The sequence below is a fragment of the Homo sapiens genome, chromosome 7, assembly GCF_000001405.40.
Source record: "Homo sapiens chromosome 7, GRCh38.p14 Primary Assembly".
Classification (NCBI taxonomy): domain Eukaryota; kingdom Metazoa; phylum Chordata; class Mammalia; order Primates; family Hominidae; genus Homo; species Homo sapiens.
The window spans coordinates 81,576,061-81,600,421 of NC_000007.14; the positions used below are offsets into that span (position 1 = coordinate 81,576,061).

A 24,361-nucleotide genomic window follows, 5' to 3' on the forward strand; every position below is an offset into this window, starting at 1 on the left:
CCAACTTTTATATACAGCCACAGAAACACACACAATGATTGAAATAATATTTAACTAAGGTCTAATGAAAAAGTACACATAATGAATCACATAAGCGTCTAAATTTATTTTCTTTTAAAATGAATTTCTGCTTGATCTCAGTGAATATGAAAATGCAATTACATAAATTTGATAACTTTTTATTTCAACTTAGATATGTTTTTAAAAATTATTTTATTGAAGGGTATTTAAAGGTATTCATTGTTTTATATTCAGTTTTATAATTAGTCTCACCTTAGGATTTGTTTCATAGTCCAAAAGAGGTTCAGTGGTTTTAGAAATAACACCATTATGCGAATCCAAAGCAAAGTAGGCAGTGGCATTAATTGAAGAATTTAATATTAAAAACTGCAACACACACATACACACACAAACATGGTTAATACATTATTGAGTAAGCATGAATTCTGAACTGACAGCTTTGATGCAACGATTTGGCAAGATGTAAACCAAAATAAATTTTGCGAAGACTGCCTATAAATTAAAATCTGAACTTACTTTCAGTTCCAGACTTCAAAAATAATCTATATATTCTTTCACGTTTTAGTTGTATTTTTTTCCAATGCATTTTATACTAAAATATTAGAGCATTTTTGGTGAATAGCTTTCAATAATTTCATAATTAGTTTACTTTCTAGTGTTGCATTTACAGATTTTTCCAATATTAAAAAAAAGCTGTTCCCTCTTGAATACTCAGGAAGTATATCTAAAGGAGGCACATGAACTGAATTATTTGGAAGAAGCCGTTTGATTCCATCTCTGAATTGATTTTCTGCATGGCAAAAATAAAATATTGCCTTGGACAAAGCTATTATTTTTATGGGCATCGGCATGTTTCTCTCCATTGTTATCAAGACAAATATTAAAGATTTTGAAAAGGATTTCATAAAGAAATTATATTATAAACACTCACATCCAGATTCCAGCTCAAAAAAACCCTGCAATAAAACCTGGAAGATCTGATACCCAATGCCATTTCCAAAGAATGCATAATAGCCATTTTGATGGTCATATTAACCATCTTTCATTTGCCTGTAAGTGAACAACAAAAGTTGGCTTATATTAGACTAAAATCCTCTTAAATGTCCTTATGAAAATAATCTCTTTGTTTTCCCCCATTATTATGGTTTTAGATTTGTTAAACATCATCATTTTCCAAATGTTTGTTTTCTCTTTCCTAATGACTTTTACAATAAAATCTAGATATTACATTAATTTTTGGTAATGGAAACTATGCATGTAAGCACATAATTATAATGGATACTTTTGTAGACACCCATCCTTCACACATATGGACATATTCTAGTTTAAATGCACACACCCACGTACCCCAATATCCTAACTCTATCCTCCCAACACACACACTAACACATTCACACAAATAGATGAGCTGAACCTGATATGCCAGGAATTACATTGTTCCTGTGTTGTAATCTGTCCTCAGTCTGAAATTCACATGAGCAAAAAATGTAATCAAGTGGATTAATCAATATCTCATTATAATCAGGTAACCAGAAAAATTACATATAGACTAAATTCTCCACAGAGCTTTCTCCCAAACTTTAGTTTCAACCATATTCCCAAGTGATATTTATGTGTATCTTTATAGCAAGCATGAACAAACAGAAAAAAAAGTTAGTCTCTTCTATGGAGAATTTGACTCACTAAATTTCGGGCAGAGTATTCCAGTGTATTAATCAGATTTATGATATATTGCATCATCAAGAAAACAATTTTTTTCTTACAAATATAATTAGATTAAAGGTCATATGTATACCAGAAAAATTTCTGAGAAAATACACAGTGATGAATTATCTTAAATTTCTTCTTTACCCCCACTTAAGCTGTAACCATTTTGTCACCTAAAATTTATTCTCTCCTCTTTATGAATTATTGCTAAAACCAGAATTAATATGAAGGCCTAAAATATCCTTTACTCACATTGTATGTATAATAAAGAAAATATGCCTGATTGGGATGAATAAAAGGCAATGAACAATGAAAGAACATTCTATTCATGCTCGTAAATGTCATCAGATAAATGCCAATAGATGTAAGCTCTAGTTTTTCACAATGCTTTCAGACCATTTGAAATCTGTTTCTTTCATTTTGAAGCCAGAGCATTTTAATTCTATGTTACTAGTCCCAAAGGTTTAAGTCTCCTCTCTCACTTCAGTGACTACCATACACATAAAGAATACTTTAATTAACAGCCTGGCAAAATAATATTTTGTGCATTAAAAATTGAGCACTCTTTTGGGTTTTTTTTCTCATCCAAGTTGGGCAAAAATAAATAGATGAAAATAAAAAAACTTACTTCAACTTCCTGTCCTAGATCTGGATCTCTTGAAAGAATCATATATATAAAAGTAGATGCAGGAATGTTTTCAGGAACAGACACTGAAACACCTATACAATTACACAATCATGAACAATAATTTAAATTCAAATGTCTTTCTTTCACTTCTTGCTTCATGCTGGTACCGTAAATTACCATGCTGTATTTTCCTTAAAATGATCTTCTTCATATTTGTTTCAGAGAAACAAAAAACCCCTACAAATACTTACTCCCATTAACATCAACATTTAAAAGAGCCATCATAATTCAGGTTGATATTCCTACCTTTAAACTTTGGGCTACTGTATAGAATGGGATATAATTGCTCAAAGTCAATGGCCACTAAGATATGATTTCTACTTTTATTCTTTTATATTAGGATATTGAAGCTTTTTGTCTCCTTTCACAATCATGTACAAAAAAGTAGAGCACAGCCTGTGAAGACAGGAAGAAATGCACTTGAATTCCTGCTCCATCACTATTCTCACCTGTACAATGGGGATAAAGTACTTCTCCAATCTTAGAGTAGTTTTAGAGATTAAATAGAATACTATACATAACACATCTCTCAAATGCTCAACAAATGCTACTTGCCTTTTTCCAACCATCGCCCCTCATCCTCCTTCCAATGCTACCAACTATGATTCTGTGTAATCCCAAAATCAAATAACATAAATGCACATTTAGACTACTGATAGTTTCTTTACCTGTTATGTGATTCTACGAATACTTTTTTTTAAAAGAAAAAAGGCTTAATGTTTACTGTGCAGCTGAATCTTGGATATCAAATCCAGTGAATATTGTATCACAATCTAGACTGGGTAGTCCTGTAAGGGTCTCTTTACAGGACTTTCTAAGGATGTTATAGAACAACTTTGGTGCGACTAGGACTTGCTTATTTTGAACCTTTGTTTCAAACTGAACATGTGTAGGCAGATTCTCTAATTTAGTGATTTGTTCTGGTTAATTATAGCAACTGGATAATTAAACCCAGTAAATGAATTGAATATGTGTGTGTCAAATCAGCAGCTTGAAAATCATGTCAATGTCTTTGGTAATTCTTGGTCACAGAGACCCACAGAGTTGCCCTACTTTAAACAGAAAGTGACTTCTTGTCCTCGCTTCTCTTATGTCCCAAGGCCCACAGCCCAGATGATGGAAGAGGAAGACATCCCGATCTTGGTACTGCTCTAGCAGTTTATGCTGGTTCAGCCAAGCTTGTAGTAGAAATCGGGTCAAAATGACCTTCTTGAGATCCACGTGTATCTTTTTAAAGTTTACTATAATTTTGGAAGACTGAAAGGAAATTACAAAGAACATCAATTAAATTGTTTCAAAGTGGTCCAAAAGATCATATCTTCACAAACACCAAACCCATTCGTTGGTACCTTGCCAAGGCTCACCTAGGAGACTTTTCTTGGTTAAATTTAATTTCTGTGAACAAATTTCTTTAATATAAACTTCTATTTTTAGATATGTTTATTATTATGTATATCAGAAGATATGTTCTGATTCAAAGTAATAAATCTGTGTGTTGTGCGTTTTGGAACTTTTGGGTTTCCAAAAAGGTGATGTTTCTGAACATTGAGAAGAGATCATTCTGGTGGTAAGAAATAGAGCAGCAATGAACAGGCATCCAGGAAAAACAAAACAAAAAAGAGACTATTTTAATGAAGTTTGCCTTGTTCCACTTGCCCTCAACTTCTTTTTTATCTCATTGCCTCCCAGTTATTTGGGTAGTTTCTCTTAATAGAAATAGAGAAAGAAAAGCAGTAAAACAAAGAAAGCAGAAGGAGTAAAGTCTTTATGGTAGGTGAGCAAGTAAAGTTAGAAATAAATGGAGAGAAAAAAATGAAAAGACTAACTAATAGAGCAAATATAATTGTTGAGATCCAGTGGACCCAGCCAAAATTAAATCAAGCCAATCTATGTTTTCTGAGATCCAATCATGTGCAAAGTCTCAAGTATATTCAAATGTTTTAAAGATTGTGTTTTTAGGTCCTCATGAAAAACACAAATACACCTAAGAGTGAGGTTAGGGAACAGTATATGAGGTTGTGATTGACACAAAGTAGAATAGCATATTTTAACATTTTATCCACAAAGACATACTGATTCCAATAGATGATGCATGCTTTCTTTCATGAGGTAAGTGAAAGAATAAAATTTCATTTACAAAACTTAATTTATCAAACTTTTCAAGACTATGCCTATTGTAATCATACTGAAAGCTACCTCTATATATTACTTTAAATCTATTATAGTTTGTACAACTGAAAATGTATTTTAAGCAAGTATTTTGGAGGCAAGAATAGCAGATGAAATAACTACATACTACTAGGAGTAATGATGACACTTAAGAGGCTGAAATTTTATATAAATACAGCTAGAATTTTTAATTTAAGAAACATTAAAAATGAATAGTGGAGCAGGTTTACTAAAATGTTGGAAAAGAATAATTTATTATAATCATACAAAAATAAATGATTCTATACAAATGGTATATGTGTTTATAATTATCTATTTATATGTGGTATATATATTATTGTATACACCAAATTAAAGGAAATGTGTTTATAGTTTGTATCATGTATCATTTCATGCTTATTATTTTTTGAAGATAATCTTTAATGGTTAGATAGCAATTCATCAAATGGACATAGTGTCTTTTAATCAATTTCCTATTCTTAGACATTTTGGTTATTTCAAACCTTATACTATTACAAACTTTGAACATAAATCTTGATTATATCTCCATTATTTCTGTAAAGATGAATTCAGGGAGAAATACTCAGGTAGAGATTATAATCATTTTTAAAATAACTGTTCATGAAATAGTATTCTAGGTGGTTATTCTAAAATCCCACTTTATGAAAGTGATAATTTCTGTATACTCTAGCCAATGCTGATTTTTTTCCTATTATTTTAATATTTTGGCCAATTTAGTAGGTGAAAATTGTATTTTATTGTTTAGATTTGTATGTGTTTGATAACTTGTGAGGCTACATATCAATCCATATGTTACAGATACAATCAGAATAATTTTGTCATTACTCCTAATACCCTATCTGCCACACACAGAAATAACTATAATTTGAATTCAAATTTGAATTATAGTAACTTTATTTTTTTTCTTTTTAGGAACATGCTATGTCTCTCACTTTATTTGCTTTTATTTACTTCCCATTTATAAAACTAGAAAGCTTAAACTATAATTCCAGTTTTATTTTTAAATTTTATTATTGTCTCATGAATTTTATCAATAAAATTGACTTGTATTATACCTGCTCCTGTTGAAAAACTTGGATCACAGGAAATAGGATCATCTACATTCTCCACAAAAACTGTAAACGTATAGCTGCTGGTATTATTCCCATTATCTGTTGCCTCAGTTTCCAAAGAGTAGATTTTGGAGTTACTTGGGTTGTCAAGATTCAAAGGCTGAAGAAGAGTGATTGTTCCTGTGACTAATAAAAAGAAATAAAATGAAGAAAAATGACCAAACTAAGATAATCAAGCCTATGTTAGCTTATTTATGTTAATGATGTTTTAATTCACTTAACAATATACTTTTTTCATACATGAGAAAAGCAATATTTCGCAATTCTATGTCCATTGGAAATATTTTCTTAAAAGCTTCTGTTTGCTGGGTGCAGTGGCTCACGCCTGTAATCCCAGCACTTTGGGAGGCTGAGGCGGGCAGATCATGAGGTCAGGAGTTCGAGACCAGCCTGGCCAGCATGGTGAAACCCTATCTCTATTAAAAATACAAAAATTAGCTGGGCGTGGTGGCGCCTGCCTGTAGTCCCAGCTACTTGGGAGGCTGAGGCAGGAGAATAGCTTGAACCCCGGAGGCGGAGGTTGCAGTGAGCCGAGATCGCACAACTGCACTCCAGCCTGAGTGACAGAGCAAGACTATCTCAAAAAATAAAATAAAATCAAAAAAAGCTTCTGTTTGCTTTATGGTTACATTGTAAATATAATTAAATATTAAAAATGGTTGCATCATATTTTTCAAGTTTCTAAATTATCATTCATTTACTAAGCATAGATAGCATCCCTACTTAAAAAATATCAAACACAAACCAGAATATTTTACTTTAATTACAACAATAAATGCTGTTTTTCAGCCTGAAAAATTAGTCAAACCATATTAAAATCTTAATCATTCATTGCTTCTGCCTTCTATCTTAACTCAATCTTATTGTGTACAAAAATGAAAAATGAGCTCAAATGTCAAACTTATAAAAAAATGGCAATAACAGAACTCTTTATTTCTGGTACCATCACCTATCTTCCCTCCCAGAATTTCTCCTTTCTTGTTCAAAAATCTTCTACCTTGACCCTACCCTGAATGTCTTCATAATTTCCACAAGGCCTTGTGGAATCTCTTCCAAATTTTCTCTTGCTAGTACATCATTATTTATTAAATGGACTTCTTCTCCCACTGATATTTGCATCTTGAAGTTAAATGCATAAGTTGCCAACGACTTTCAGGATTCAAATAAATTATCTCAAATATTGAATGATTAGTATGATGGCTTTGTAATGTGCCACATTTGCTAAGCCAAACTGTATTTCTCAGAATTCTATTTTGTGTGTGTTTCAGTTTGGTGAGACACAGGGAAATTCTTGGCCAACTTGGAGGGTAGAAGGGTAGCAGCAGCCATTTTGTTTCTTACCCATGTTTTTGTTGATCTGCTGTGTTACTGTTGGTGTGAACTAGCTTCAGCTAAATCTGAAATTGCTTGACCTACTGCTGGATCTTCTTTCAGCTTCTCTGACTCTTAGAACAGGTCTGTATACTCAGCCACGTGATGAAAGGCTCAGCTTCTGCAGAACACCCACACAAGCAAGGTCAGAAGCACAAAGAACTAACATGGGTTTCAGTTGATTCTTATGGGGCCCAGCATATGCTTGTGTGTTCCAGACTACCCTTAACCTCCCCTACTTTGTATGCATCTTCTCTTCCTGACTTCCTGCCTTAGGGGTGAAAGCTTCAGCATCAGACACAAAGCCTTACAGAGACTACTTAACTCACTGCTACAGGGTACTCTTTTTTTTTTTTTTCTTTTTTCTACGAGATGAAGTCTCGTTCTGTAACCCAGGCTGGAGTGCAGTGGTGCAATCGTGGCTCCCTGCAACCTCCACCTCCCGGGTTCAAGTGATTCTCCTGTCTCAGCCTCCCAAGTAGCTGGGACTACAGGCACCCACCACCACACCCAGCTAATTTTTGTATTTTCAGTAGAGATGGGGTTTCATCACGTTGGCCAGGATGGTCTTGATCTCTTGACCTCGTGATCCACCCGCTCGGCCTCCTAAAGTGCTGGGATTACAGGTGTGACCCGCTGCGCCCAGCCTACAATGTACTCTCAGTGGTTATTTTTCTCTGGTTGTACCCTGATTGATAAAACCAGCTAGTGTGACAACCCATAAGAGAGAAATATTTCAGAACAGCAATCCTGTTCACACAGGCAGAAATCTGTTCATAATAAATATCCAAAACCTAGTCATTCTGGAAAAGTCCCAATTTTCTCAAATCAAATTGAGATAGATATGACATTTCATCCTATAATTTATAAGGATGCACAGAAGCATTTGTATTGAGTGCCTCTGAAAAATGATAGTCAGTTATAAAAGCAAGGTATTACATCACCCATTATTTCACAAGAATGTCATTTTCAGAAATAGGAAAGCAGCAACTGTCAAATACCACATGTTTGGGGAATGTTTTATTCTTCAGATTTCATTTAATTTTGAAAGGGCAGTTTTACCAGCCTAAGATCTAATGGAAGTGCAGAGATTAGATAGTGAATGTTTAGCCAAAGTAGGCTAAAAGTATTTATTTAAAACTTACAGGGGTCCAAACAAAACATTTTCTGCTGAGTCTTAAAGGAATAAATGATACTGCTATCTTCATCTCGATCTGTTGCTTTTACTCTTGCTATAATTTCTCCAACAGATTTCTTCTCAGTCACATTAATAGAATCCAAAGGAAATGGCCTTAAGAAAAAATGGCGATAAAAAATTTTGAGGATACAAATTTGAGAATTCTTACACACATAATTGCCAAGTTATGATAAGCTGTAAATAATCTTTTGGATTTATAATATCACCTTCCTCTTGTCAAGAATTTAACAAGTCCCAAAGCTATTCAAATATTGAACAAATCAATTTGTGGCACAAAGTTATTTAACTTTTTGCAAAAGCACTAATTTTTAATCACATAGTCTCTAGCACCATGTACGTGAAAGACATGACATAAGAGAGATGGAAAATGAAAAACAAAATGGAACAGTGCACCTCCATTATTCCAGATATTCAATTTATGGAATAATTGGCAACTGAACATAAAGGACTAAATATATTCGTTTTCATCTTGTTATCTGATATGATGAAATTCTGTCCAAAGTCATCACTTACTAGGGCAAGTTTCCAGATAGTTCTCATAAATATATTGCTTAACCTCTTCAAGTCGTACGGAAAAGTCCTTGATCAATTTCCAAAACATTTCTGAGAGTTACATTTAGTTCTTATTCAGCCTTTCATTCAGGCATCAGACATTTATTGATAACCTACCATGTGTCACTCCAGTTAATGTACATGACTAAGTCTTAGTACTTGTTTAGATCTCACTGCTACTGGGAAACACAAGGATAAACAGCTATAATACTAGGTAATAGATGCTGTCAGTTTGCTGCAAATTTTAAAAAGAGAGAAGACTAATTCTGGGGATAGAAGAGAGGTTCAAGGAAGTCCTCAAAGGAATGTAAATTCAAAGGAAAAGTGAGTGATGCCATCCCTTGGGAAACTTTCTTGATCACAGTAATCTAATGTGGTTTCTCTTCTACAAAGTGTTTTCTCCTTTGTGCCATAATACAATGTAAATTATAATATTTATATTCTGGACCACATTAAATCTTTCTCTTAATTAATTGTTACTTAACATGCAGTATCACTTGAGAGATGAAAAAGGTAGTTCAGGGCAATATTTCAATAATTTTTGCATTGTTTATAATATCTAGCATTAAATTCTACAAAAAAGTAAAATCAATAAGTTCATGCTTATTGAAGACATGAAGGCAGCAGAAAATTTTTCCAAAAAGTTGATGGCAACTCTATTACAAACACAGTTAGGAAAGTGATTCCTACAAATAAAGGATAAACTAAGCTCCAAATTACCTTAAGTTGTTCACATAATATAACTTAAAATGAATTTGGGGAATCAAACAATGAATTACTCTCCTTAGTCATCTGTAGAGATACAACTTAGTGATATAAGGAAAGTACTTGAAAACTATTTTTCTTTTTCTCTTTCATAATCTAAGAAGTATTTGATTCCTCTTAGATTGTAGTAATACATTTCATTACTACATTTTGAAGTATAGAAAAACATCTAACATTCATTGCGTTCATTATCTGCAAACAGTTTTGAATGCTACAACTGTACCTCCAGAGTATGAAAGTAAAATATTTTAAATTAAATACTTTAAGCTTAAGGTCTACCTTTCTCTTTATTTAAAATTAATGTAATTATTAAAAAAGCAATGTAGCAACTATGAATAATCTTCAGCAAAGGAAAAAAAAGATACACCAAGATCTTTTACCATATTACAATGTTGGTAACTTCTAAATTTGCTTTCCAGTATTTTCTAATACATAGTTTACTTTTTATCTGTGTATACCTTAATCATTGATATATAGTCATATATTTTAACAACATCAAAAAAAAATTCTGAGTAGCTACATAATCTTTATTATCATTATTTATAACACAGTCATCCTTGGTATCCATGGGTTTTATTTTCATAGACTTAACCAACCATGGGGGACAAAAATATTCCCTAAATATGGTATAACAACTACTTACATAGCATTTATACTATATTAGGTATTATAAGTAATACAGAGATGATTTAAAGTATACAAGAGGATGTGCATAGGTTATATGAAAATAAAACTACCGGTGTGGTGGCTCACACCTCTAATCCCAGCACTTTGGGAGGCCGAGGTGGGCGGATTGGAACATTTGAGGTCAGTAGTTCGAGACCAGCCTGGCCAACATGGTGAAACCCCATCTCTACTAAAAATACAAAAATTAGCCTGGTGTGGTGGCACACACCTGTAGTCCCAGCTACTCCACTTGGGAGGCTGAGGCAATTGCTTGAACCCAAGAGGTGGAGGTTGCAGTGAGCCAAGATCGCGTCACTGCACTCCAGCCTGGGCGACAGAGTGAGAATCTGTCTCAAATAAATAAATAAATAAATAAATGAAAAGAAAAAAATAATACACCATTATAAAAGATTCTTGAGCATCCATAGCTTTTGGTATTCAGGGGAGTCCTGGAATGCATGCCCCACAGATACCAAGGGCCGACTGTATATGTGAAAAGTTTATTTTAACCATTCTCCTATGTATACACTTTGAAATAAATATGCTCACTCAAATTGAGGCTTCTCATCATTTATGTTTCTAATCAAGATAATTAGTGTCCCTTGACAGAACAGACCTGTTGTATCTGTTGCTTTCAGTATAAGGTGGAAAACCTGGAAAAGAGTTTTTTAAAACTTTAAAAATACTATTTTATAATACATATATACTTTCACAATATGCATCCTGTTAGGTTTTTGTTTTGTTTTGTTTTCTCCACCTAAATATAGCTTCTTATTTTTCTTCTCATTAGTTAAAAGAAATACAAGTGCTTTCTTATTTGTATTTACTTATCTTTCCTACTTAGTTAGATTCATTATAAGTTGCTTCATTTCATATGGAATTAAATTTCACACAAAAGTCTGTGTAGCTTGGCTATATACCTCAATCCAGAAAAAAATCAAAACCCCTCCCAAATGAACAAATTCTAGATTTAATCTTAAACCAAAATATGATGCACTGAAACTACTGACAAAGCAAGCTGATTGATGTTAAACCCTAGAAATAGGAAGATGGGCTACTCTTTGGGATCCATGACACAAGGAATTTCTGAAGAATTGAGAATGTCATCAAACATTGAATATTCTTCTCCTCAGCCTGTCACTCATCTCACCCCTTAGAAACCATTTACTCATATCAGGAAATGCCCTTTTGAAAACAAAAACAAAAACCAAACACCATGGAGGCGGTAAGTATCCACTAAAAACCCTTTTTGAGCAGATATTCAATAAAACTCTACAGCGTATAAGACTCCATGCTGAGGAAAGGGCTGACAATGATTCTACCAAATTTCAGTCCCTTGGATAAGTAATTACATGTCAGATGTCATATAATGAATTGATCAGTTATTCAGTGGAAAGATGAAAGTGATCTTAAAGGACTTGGTAGAAGATAGGTTGAATGTCGGTCAAGGCAGGAGGTGAAGAGGCCCAGGAAGAGTCAGAGATACGGAGCTGAACTGTTTACATGCATGATGTCCATTTATCTTCCAGCTAACCTATCTCATATTGTAGTCCTAATACTCAAGCTGCTTAAAAGATATGTATCATTGACTTCTCCACCATCCTCTAACATACAGCACATCAAATTGAAATTTAAATGGAATTCATTGACTTTCTTCCACCATTTATGTTCTTTCAGGCCAGAAAGTTAGTATCTTCAAATATTAACTCTTCCCTCGAATTATCTTATCAGCAGCAAATTCTCTATTTTTACTCCAATCTCTTGCATTTTCCCCTTCTTGCTATTTTCTCAATTACCTTATTGAAATAATAAATTTGAAGACACTTCTGAAAACAGAAATTTTTTTACAATATTGTAAAACATTATTTTACGATCATAATAATACCAACCTTTATTTCTCGAACTACACACTTCATTTCTATGTGGACAGACTATCTCCAATAGCTGGTTTCTTTCCAGTCAGTTGTTCATACTTACATATCCTTCATTTTCCACTCAGAAAAATCATCCCTGAATGCTTTCCTTAAATTATATTTCTCATGTAAATACCATCTAATGTTCTTCTTTCTTACCATGTTAGTTTCAAATTCACCTATAAGGTTTATGCCCAATCTTACATTGGCTACCTAAGTGAGTTAACACTCTAAGTGGGGTAGGGTGTATGAATCATAATAGTTTCAATATGAAAACTTGACTGATTTAAGTTTCTTTCATTTCTTTGATGTTCAGAAAGATTTAAATTTTAATGATTTACTGATTTGGTTTTCCCAGATTAAAATGACAATTTTTTTCATAAACTTTTTTTGGTAGAACTAAAATGTTAAGACATAATCTCTATATTTGGAGTAACCATAATGATTGGATGTAGGATTTTGGTTAACTGCACAAATCCTCAGAAATGAATGACACAAAATATTAATCTTCCTTCAAAATAACAAGGTGTCTAATTTTTCATGAAGAGCTCAAAGTGATAAAAATTCTGTTTCACTCTGCATGGAAAAATAAATAAACATTTTAATTACATGATATCCAGTATCCAAATCCAGGGGATCTTCACCTCTTAATCTAACAACATCACTTATAGGATCCGTTCCAAAAGAGTTTGCTCCTTTCTTTGGTCCAGATAACTGTGTCTCAATGGTGTACTTGAAGAATAAAATATGCATTACTCGAAACTGAATAAATGAGAACGCATGGAAGATCATTAAGACATGATATTGGGGCAAATATATAGAAAGTTCCCTATTTTCACACTGATTAATTTCAGTTTTTCTTTATGATCTACTAGTATTAGAACCACTGACATCATCTTTTTCAGAATAAAGGAAAAACAATATGGTTGTTTAGCCTATGAACATAACCAAAATGTTTGCTATTTTTTAAATAGAACTGCACAACCCTTTACAGTTTTCTCACATAAGTTTTTAAAAGCTTAATTTTCTTTTTTTTTTAAATGGAGTTTTGCTTTGTCGCCCAGGCTGGAGTGCAGTGGTGTGATCTCAGCTCACTGCAAGATCCACCTCCCGGGTTCACGCCATTCTCCTGCCTCAGCCTCCCAAGTAGATGGGACTCCAGGCACCCGCCACGACGTCCAGCTAATTTTTTGTATTTTTAGTAGAGACGGGGTTTCACCGTGTTGGCCAGGATGGTCTCGATCTCCTGACCTTGTGATCCGCCCTCCTCGGCCTCCCAAAGTGCTGGGATTACAGGCGTGAGCCACCGTGCCCAGCCAAAAGCTTAACTTTTATTAAGTATTTGTTTAATATTAATTTAATTCTGCAAATTAATATAACACTGAAAGAGTGTACAGAATAAACTCACTATCACTATCATTATCATTAAAAGTATACAAAATAAACTCATTATCAGTTTTAAGAAACAAAAGAATTATAATGGTATAAACCCGTTTCAAGTGTTACCATTTCAAATATTAATGTAGTTTATAATTTATCTTATGCTCTTAATATTCCTTTTTATTTATTTGCTACCACTTCTTAGAATAGGTAAAAGTAGGTAAATATAGCCTCAAAAGTATCTGAAAACTATTTAGTTTGGAAGGAGGTAAAATTTCACTGAGGAAAAGTTTAATTACTTCTGTGTGCTTCTTTGTAATCTGATATGATTTCTAGGCTCTAAAAATAGAACTATTTCTCAAAACACTGAATTTTAAAACAATCACCTGTTTGGTTCCTATTATGTTTCTGAAAATGACAGAAGTGGTAATAATTACTGTCAGCTGGAGCACAGCGTTTTAAAAAATTTATTGAAAAGACATCATGTAATGGGAAAGATCTTGTGTTTCTAAACAATTTAATTTTGGCTCGTCCACAACAAAATATTTTTGGAGTATCCCACAGGGATTTTAAATACTTTGACAACGGCACATGTATCACTGAAGGTTAATGGAAGGAAAAATTATCTCTTATAATTGCGAAAATCAAACACCAGGGGTATTAAGTGACTTCCCCAGTATTACAGCTCTAGTTGGTGGTAAAGCCATACGTAGCCCAAGTCATCTGACAACCCCACCGCCATTTGGTGGTGCTCCATTACTTTATACTGTGAGTTACTACATTAGAAGTAGTAAACTATTTCAATGCATGTTCAGAAAGAACAGCTGCAGAGCAAGCATGCTGACTTTTGTAGTCCATTGCATTGCTAAAGTCTCCAAAACAAACTTTATAGATTCTTTTCATTTTGCCAAATCTCTAAGAGACTTCACATCCATGAATCAATTAAGAGAAAAAGCGAGTCTCTTAGGGTTAAATACTTAGTAATTAGGATACTGAAACATCAAAAAATATATAATCACATTCATATGTGTCATTGAAATAGCTAGGAAAGAGAAATAGTTCTGATTAGTTCCAAAAGGCAAAGCCCCAGTTTTGTCTCAGCATTGACATCTTCCTCCCAGTCCCCCACCTCAATTAGAAGTCATGTAATTTTCCTGTATGCCTCAAGAAAATAGCTTCTTCTAAAAATGCCATTTCCAACATTAACATGAATATTGCATCATGGTGGTTGTAAACTTCATACAATCTTTAATTATCAAATTATATTAACTGTCCTTGAAAATTTTTTGAAAAGATTACACTTTACGTTGAAGTGATAAATGCACCTGGCACAATGATCGCCACCTACATTCAGCCTATCACCATTTGCGAAGACCTCATCTGTGGCCGTCACTCTATAAATGGACTGAAATAATGGATAGTCCTCATCAATTTCTAAGGTAGCTGTGAAGCAGAAATCAAGTTGTATCAGAAAATTAAAGTATACTAGGCATTCACTATCTCTTTATATAATAAAAACAGAACAATATTAATTTCAGATTGGATTCTGAGTCTGGGACAATATTTTAATATTTTAAGATAGTAATTTATTTTTTCTCACTTTTGTGTTTTTCCCCCTGGCTTTGGATCATCCTTCCTGCCCTCACCCAGTGCCTTTTCCTTACTTCCTGGCACTATTTGAGGCAACTATAGCTTAATGAAAAAGAACATGATACATATGCTGACAAACTGTCCTATGGGAAGCCAGAGTGGTAGCTTCATAAAATATTTCTGTACAATTTCTAGACCTGATTGGGTCATAATGGGGAGGAACTCTGTTTCTTACAAAAGCACATGTGTGAACAGCTGATTAACATCCAGCTCTCACACACCTCCTAACATCTTCTCAGCCTTGACCATGGGTGAAAAGCTCAATCTAAAATATAACATGGATGCAGTGACTTCAGGAAAGAAGTGGGTAAAATTGTTCCATATGGAGTAATAAGACATTTTAAAATTTCTTATTTCTTACATACAGAAATGTGTAGACCAAATGTATATGTTGTTATAAAAATAAATTTTAACAACTTGCTCAACTAAATTTAATTTTTTCACATGTAGTTATATTTAAAGTTAATGACTAGGTGATTTTTGAGTAGCTAAAGATAATGGTGGTTACCTAGAACCATGTCTCCCAGTATTTTCTCCAAAAACAATACAGAAAAAAAGAAGAAATAATATTAGACAAAAGCCATGCCCTCAGCATAAATTGAAGACAGAATATGACCAAACTTCATCATAACTTTAAGTAAATTTTAACATGTCACGTTTCTATCCCACCATGAGCCCTCGTGGCAAGTCAAGAATGGCCCAGAAAACTACAGGTATGAGAAGAAGAGAAAGCTAACAACAAGCCTAAGATTGATGGGATGTAAAATTATTTCCAGAAAGAGTAAGTCTACTCAAAGTGTAAAAATACAAGCTGGGCATGGTGGCTCATACCTGTAATCCCAGAACTTTGGGAAGCCGAGGCAGGCGGATCACCTGAGTTCAGAAGTTCAAGACCAGCCTGGCCAACACGGCAAAACCCTGTCTCTACTAAAAATACAAAAATTAGCTGGGTGTGGTGGCACACACCCGTAATCTCAGCTACTTGGGAGGCCGAGGCAGGAGAATTGCTTGAACCCAGGAGGTAGAGGTTGCAGTGAGCCGAGATTGCGCCAAGAGTGAAATTCTGTCTTAAAAAAAAACAACAAAAAAAACCACACAAAAACAGAAAATTCTATGATGTTAAAAGTATTATCCATGCTTAGTACTGTGACAGATACATAAATGAATAAAAGCAAGTTTATCATACACCAATTTATATTTTTCTTAAGGACAAATAAATAATAACAAAATTGATTTTAAGATAATAAGCATTTTAAACAAAATAATGAATTAGCTAAAACATCTATTAGAGGTATAAAAACATCTAGAAAAGATTTTGACTCAAATAATCAGAACAGTGAACTTAAATTTAAAAAAATTTCCAATAATTAGATAAATGTCAGATTTTGTGATACTTCATAAACATAGGCCTGAGCTATTGGTTGCAAAGAGAATTATTAGAGGAATAATTAGAATAACTCAGTGCCCTTAATTAAGTCTCTGTTCTGTTACTCTTCAACTTTCTACAATAGTTGTTTCAAACCTTGCCTTTTTGACTAAAACCTCTTACACCTACCCTTCCCCTCTATCTCACTCTTCATAGAGGATCTCTCATCTTACTGCATAGAAAACAGATACCATTAGATCAGTGGTAGCTCACTTTTTCTCATGGGATCTACAAACTCACTTCTGTTGGTACCTTCTTTACTATAAAAGGCAAGAACTTGTTACTAAAGATAATCCTTGTTCATTGGGTGGTAACACACCCTATACTTTCTCAAGGACTTGTCTCTTTACCTCCCATCTTCAGTCACTCCCTCACTTTCTGGGTACTCTCTATTAGCACTTAAACATGCTCAAGTCTCTTTCATTTTAAAAGAAACACCCTTGACCCTAAGCTTACCCTTACAATGTCCATATCTCTCTCTTACCCTTCAGGGGCAGAGTCTGTACATTTCTTTACCCCCTGTTCAGTCCTTAGTTCACACTATTAGAGGTTCTGCCTCTACAAACAGAGGCTATTTCCAGCAAGTCATCAAAGTCTTCCATGCTGCCAGACCCACTGGACACTCAGTGTCCACCTTACTTAACCTCTCTTCAACATTTACACAGTTGACTCTTCCTTCTACTCTTGGCAGAAAAGGAGAATTGCACATCTATAGGAATCACCCCTAAACTTCTGAGTACCTTTGGAAAAACTGCCTGTGAAAATCAAAGTTGGCAAGTTTCTCAAACAGCCATTAAGTTCCCCGATCAGGCAAAGTCCTTATTACAGCTTTCCAAATCTTAACTAACAATTTCTTAATAATCTGCAGTCCTCTCTAGCTACTGCCCTATTCTCTCATCCTTGAGTGTATTTTTTACCTTTTCTTTGACTGGACAGAGTCAGCAGTGGGAATGGAAAACAGGAAGCAGAAGCAGGTGGTTATAAGACTCAAGGGCCCTCAGTGACCCTTGAGGTTTGACAAAAGAAAGGGGCTAGGAATTCAGGAGAGCTCAGAAGAGATGACCTGGAGTCTAACCCCTTGACCAAGAGAGTAAGAAAAAACATGAAGAGATTTCAGTTGCTTATTCATATTCATAGGCAATATCATTAGTGAAAGTGGCTGTGTATGCGTCCATGTTAGTTTTGAAAAATAACTGCACATGGTTATGAGACAACACTGCCTTTAGTAGTGAAAATTTAATAAATAATGACTTTATATCAACAAAATGGAGTAAACATTACATTTCTGAATGTAATCAATGTTCCTGCTGTAGCTTTTAAGGTGATAAATGTAACATTTGAGCACAATGTAATAGAGATGTATTCATGAAAATCCTAGTTTATTTTATAATCAACTTAAAATGTTCTTAATATGGCTCATTTAATGAAATAATTGGTTTTTGTTAGTATGGTCCAAATTTAAAAATGGTAAGTTTTTATTCATTTATATTTTCAAAAGAAATTGATAGTTTACATTCATGATCTTTCAGAGCATGTTTTCAGAGTATTATATATTTTAACTGCAATGATAAAGAGAATTTCTTTTAAGCATACACTCAAATTGAGACTCCCAACTCACTAGTACTTTTCCAGAGATTCAGCTGCAAGTAAAATCTGAATAGAAAAATCTTAAAGCTTCAAGGCATTTCAAATTTATTAAACATAAAAAATTGAAATTGTAAATAGAGACATGTAAGTGTTTAGGAGATACATAGATGGGTAGACAAGATTGACAGATGATTGATTGACTGATTGCACCTGTGCTTTGTTCCCATTTCTCACCTACTTTATTTGTCTTCAGCCTCCTCATCAAATGGATTCTCCATGTTGTAAAATTACTCATGTCTCCCTTTAAAAAGAAATCCAGCAGACCCAACTCTTGCAATCCCATATGATTTTGTTTCTTCATTCTCTCCAACTTTATGTGCAAATTAAAAAAAAAAAAGATGTTTTCTGTTTTTACAATCTCACTAATCAATCTGCTCCATTCTGGCTCCCATCCCTATAACACCCATAAAATAGTTCTCAAACTCATTAGTTGTCACTTTCCTGATATTGTTAACTCAATGCATTTTACTTGTTGTGGAATATAAGACTGCTAACCACTGGCACTCTTGAAACACTATTCTCCTTTGCCATTCATGACATAATTCCCCTTTTTCTACCACCACTTTAGCAGCTCCTTCTTTGTCTCCTTGGCAGGCTGAGTTTCTTCCCCACGTCATTAAGTGTAGGAGTTCCTCAGGGTTGGCCCTCTGCCCTCCTTTCTTCTAATTCTCTACTCTTGGGTTAAGTAATCTCATCCAAATCCATGGTTTCAATTACAAAACATTAATAGCCCTGGGTAAGACCTCCAAGCCCAACTGCTTACACAAATCTATCCTTTGATATAACAAAGGCATATCAAAAAGGACCTTTGCAAAAGTGAACTCTTGATTTTTCTCTCCAAATTTGGTATATTTCTTTCTTTTTTTTTTTTTTTTTTTTGAGATGGAGTCTCACTCTGTCACCCAGGCTGGAGTACAGTGGCACCATCTCGGTTCACTGCAACCTCCACCTCCCGGGTTCAAGCAATTCTCTGCATCAGCCTCCCAAGTGGCTAGGATTACAGGCGCCCGCCACCACGCCCGGCTAATTTTTGTATTTTTAGTAGAGATGAGGTTTCACCATCTTGGCCAGGTTGGTCTTGAACTCGTGACCTCGTGATCCACCCGCCTTGGCCTCCCAAAGTGTTGGGATTACAGGTGTGAGCCACCGCGCCTGGCCAAATTTGGTATATTTCTAAGTTTTCCTATATTTCTTGAGGATTTCCACACCAGTTACACAGATTAGAAAACCCAGTCCCTTCTCTCCTTCATTCTACTAAATTCATCACCAGCTATATTATTAAAATGTCCTAAGATTATCCTTTTCTCATCTCTATCATCTTCCTAGGCCAAACTATACCATTCCTTGCCTAGATGACTGAAATGAACGTCTTCTTTTTTCTACTCTATGGGTCTTCAAACCACCACCCTTCAGCCAAATCTAGACTATTGCCTGGTTTTGTATGCTCTGTAAGCTAAGAATAGTTTTTGTACTTTAAATAAAAATGGTTTAAAAATAGTTTAAACAATCAAAAGAAGTCTAATATTTTGTGACACATGAAATTTATATAGAGTTCAAATTTCAGTATTTATAAAGTTTTAACAAGACATATATACTCATTTATTTATAGATCATATATTGTTGCATTCTTGCTACTGAGTTGAGTGATGGAAATATATGGTGTTCTCATCACCTCAAATACCATGAATTCCAATAATCCAGTTATAACAGCATTCTGAGTACCATATTCTTTTTAATTATCATATCTACCCACCATGGCAAAACAAGAAAAGAAGAGAAAAATAAACTGAATGACACACTTTTAAGGCATGATGCAGTGTGGATTGTTTTGTTTTTAAGTTATGTGTCCAAAAACTGTTTTTATTATGTAATAACATTATAACTTTGATATTAATAAAAGAATACAATACATGTCTGAAAAAAAAGACTAAGTACTCATCCCAGTATTCCCACTTGACAGAAAAACAATGATCAGAAAAAGTAGAAAATTTAAAATAAAATATTTCATGAAGACAGACTTTATTCACAAAAATAATTACCAATGAAACTGCAGTAAAAAAAGATTCTAAGCAGTTCATTAGTTAGCTAAGTAAGGAAAGAGATTTGCTGATGGTATTTAATGTCCCATCCAATAAAGAGAAACTCCAACCCCTCCCAAATGAAAATTCACTCCTCTCATTAGCAGAGCTGTAGTACAAAATTATACCCAATTGTTACTGTTATTATCTTTTAAAAATTTATCAATAAAAATTGTAGATATTTATTTCCTTGCTTATAAGTACTACCTAAATAATAGACTCAATTTATCTTTTGGCTTGCAAGGCCTAAAATATTTACTTTCTGGCCTTTTACAATGCTTGCTGACACCTAAACTAACTTTGTCCCCTTCTCATCTTTCTCTATACTCAACAAGATGGATATATTTGAAACATCTATCAGCTTAAAATACTTCATAGCATTCCCACTACCCTTAGAACCAAGACTGACATTCTTAAAATACTCTTCATTACTTTTCAATTATCATTTTGTACCATATTACTTAGTGCCCTATTTCAATTATACTAGACTTCCCATTATTCTTAGTCAACATGTTCTATGCTGCCTCAGGGAACTTATAGTTCCTTCTGCATGAAATGCTATTCTCCCTCCTCTTGCTTATTTACTATTATCAGAGTTTAGAACTAAAGTAAACTGCCAAAACTTTAGAGAAAACTTTTCTGATATCTCTGACTTGGTCAACCGTTCCACAATCCTACACAGTATTTGATTTTGTAATACAAATGTCTCTTATTTCTATGATCATATTATAATTAAAATTCACATTTATTTTTGTGCATTTTTGATTGATGGCTATCATCCTTACTTTTTTGGAAAACTAAAATACCATTTGAACCTTAAGCGTATTAAAACTAAATTATTCTTTGTAGCATTTTTACAAGTGAAGGTTTAACTTTGTGTATTAAGTTATGAAAACCTTTTATTCATTTTGTTTCTCTCCTGCCTTGCTTCTCTTACGGCAAGTCTTTTGTAGAATCTCTATTGCTGTTTTTAATGTATTTGCTCTCCTACCTCATAATTGTGGCATGAAAATTTTTATAGGGTAAACATGTTTTTCAAATTATTCCTTAGAGAGATTATGTTTTCTTACAAACATGAAGGTCTGCACATATTTTTGTGTATTTATATAAACACACATTATATGCATAATTTAAAGAATCACTGAATCATCTCTCACTGAGGGAGTATGCCTGGCCTCTTTCATTATACATAGCTTTTAGAAGTAAACTATAGGAAGATAACGCATCATACCTGTGCCTGAAGAAAATTTGGGATCAGCAGTACAGTTTGGAGATTCGGGAACATCAATAATATTAATGGTCAAAACATGTCTATAGAGCCTCCCAGTATCAACAATCAGAAGAAACCTTATTGGATCTGTTTCATAATTAAAAATTTTGGTAGCAGTGATTACACCAGAACCTATGAAAGAGATAAGCCACAATTATAATTACCATCAGTACTTAGAAACATAACTTTTATATCTTAAAAGATTTTGGCATTACGGGTTTTAACTCCTTAAAAAAGAACTTAAATTGGAGATTATGTTGGCAACCCAAAGTCACACAATTAACAAGCATCATCTGAATCTTTAGTTGAAGAAAAGGAAAAAAAAAAAAAGGAAGTAGTTCTAAATATATTTCAGTTGCCTCACAAGGAAAATATTCAAAATATGCAAATGATAGAAAATATTAAATATTGACTTATTTTCTTTTCAAAATGTTTCATGATTCAGACTTCTATTATTAGTAAACCATATATGTCTCTTGAAAGTTTTCATCGAAAATCATTTCCAAAGATCACAGCACCATCAGTGACAGAGATCATATTATCATCACAGTACATGCCTACTTTTTATTGAGAGGAAAAAAATTGTCATTTGTTTCTGTTCAATCTCATTAATTATTATGAGTTTATCCCAAAGTCATAAAATAGATTTGACATCATTTTTTTGCTGGCACCTAGATAAACCGTATCACTGAGAATTCTGTTGTCAAAAGTGGCATATTGCCTTAAAAAGGATACTTTTATATGGTACTTATTGTAACAATAATCAATTCCCTACTAGGCCAGACTAAGACCTGGGTGTAAAATAATTAGCTGATTTAAGTGAAGATAAGAAAAGAAAGTAAGGTTGTGCCCCATTATCCATATAGAATATGCTTCAAGACCCCCAGTGGATTTGTAAAACCACAAGGGGTACAGAACCCTGTATATACTATGTTTTTTCCTGTACATACATACCTATTATAAAGTTAAATTTATAAATTAGGCATGGTAAGAGATTAACAACAATAATAATAAAATACAACAATTATAACCGTATACTCTAATAAACATCATGAGAATGTGCTCTGTCTCTCTGAAAATAACTTATATTAATGAAAATAGGCCAGTCACAGTGGCTCATGCCTGTAATACCAAAACTTTGAAAGGCTGAGGTGGAAGGATTGCTTGAGACCAGGAGTTCAAGACCAGCCTGAGCAACATAGTAGGACTCCATCTATACACACACACACACACACACACACACACACACACACACACACACACACACACAAATAAAAAATTAGCTGGGCATGGTGGCATGTGTCTGTAGTCCCAGCTACTTGGGAGGCTGAGGAAGGGGGATTGCTTGACACCAGGAGTTTGAGGCTACAGTGAGCTACAATTGCACCACTGTACTCCAGCCTGGGTGACAGAGTGAGATTCTGTCTCAAAAAAATAAATAACCAACATGATTTTCTGTGAGTAACTGAAACTAGGAAAGTGAAACCATGGTAAGAGGGCCGTACTGTATAGATGAAGAAAAGAATAATACAGACACTAATACACTTTTTAAAATTTTTGTTATTATTAGCAATAATAGGTCCACTTAATCTGGGCATTCTTTAAAGAATTTATATCAAGTTGTAGCAAAGAAACAAATGTAATCATTGAGATTTTTTTTTTTTTTTTGAGATGACATTTAGCTCTTGTTGCCCAGGCTGGAGTACAATGGTGCGATCTCAGCTCACCACAACCTCCCCCTCCTGAGTTCAAGTGATTCTCCTGCCTCAGTCTCCCCAGTAGCTGGGATTACACAGGCATGCACCACCATGCCTGGCTAATTTTGTATTTTTAGTAGAGACGGGATTTCTCCATGTTGGTGAGGCTGATCTTGAACTCCCGACCTCAGGTAATCCACCCACCTCAGCCTCCCAAAGTGCTGGGATTACAGACATGAGCCACTGCGCCTGGTGAGATTCTTTTAGAAAGTCCTGAGTCACAAAAGCTACTGATTAGAGGAAGAATAAAAATATTCTTAATTTTGAGAAAGCCAGTAATATGCATAGGCAATACTTTATAAAACTATATATACTAACTTGTCTTAGCTAATGGATTTAATAGAGACAAAATGTGAGTCTCACTGGAACAAATACATTTCTTACACATTTTTGTAGAGTTTCTTTTTCAATCTTACAAAATAAGAATCAAGCAAAATCAAATCATAACAAAATGAATAGCCCAATGCTGAATTTCTTCCAAACTGAAGTGCAGCTTATATATCCCTTCTTATAGCACAAGAAATAATCTCAAAACGCAATGTTGGATCAAAGCTGGAAGAAAGAGAATAGGTTCAACCACTGAATGGTTATTGATTATGACGTCTTCTATTAAATCTCCTCCAGCCAGATTAAAAGAACTAAAACTTGACTGAATAATCCTGTGGGCCTCCCTTCACTCCCAAGAAAGATTTTTTACCCCTTATATTTAGTGTCAAGAATACTAATTTACTGACAATGTATCAAACAACTTGCGGCACAGCATAAACAGCTGGATTCATCTAGGGAATAGAGGAATAGGCTAACAAGGGAAGAATTTTCTACAATGTGATTGATATGATTTGTGTTCCCACCCAAATCTCATGTCGAATTATAATCCCCAATATTGATGGTGGGGCCTGGTAGGAGGTGATTGGATTATGGGGGCTGATTTTTCCTTTTGGTGCTGTTGTCATAATAGAGTTCTCAGGAG

At 34.0% G+C, this 24,361-nt stretch overlaps 1 long non-coding RNA gene across 2 annotated transcripts in view; it reads right to left on the bottom strand.

Annotated features, from left to right (window-relative positions):
• Window positions 1-325: 325 nt before the first annotated feature.
• The window catches only part of LOC100128317 (uncharacterized), a 115,021-nt gene continuing 90,985 nt past the window's right edge, over window positions 326-24,361 (bottom strand). Inside the window, exons 5-11 of one of the 2 annotated variants that reach the window (NR_126025.1) lie at window positions 21,596-21,766; window positions 18,461-18,596; window positions 12,793-12,915; window positions 8,235-8,380; window positions 7,060-7,210; window positions 5,662-5,844; window positions 326-3,673 (exon numbers count right to left, since the gene is read on the bottom strand). This is a non-coding gene — a long non-coding RNA (uncharacterized LOC100128317). Of the gene's footprint in view, window positions 3,674-5,661; window positions 5,845-7,059; window positions 7,211-8,234; window positions 8,381-10,886; window positions 10,924-12,792; window positions 12,916-18,460; window positions 18,597-21,595; window positions 21,767-24,361 lie in introns of both variants that reach the window. The other variant, NR_126026.1, reaches the window with a different exon arrangement.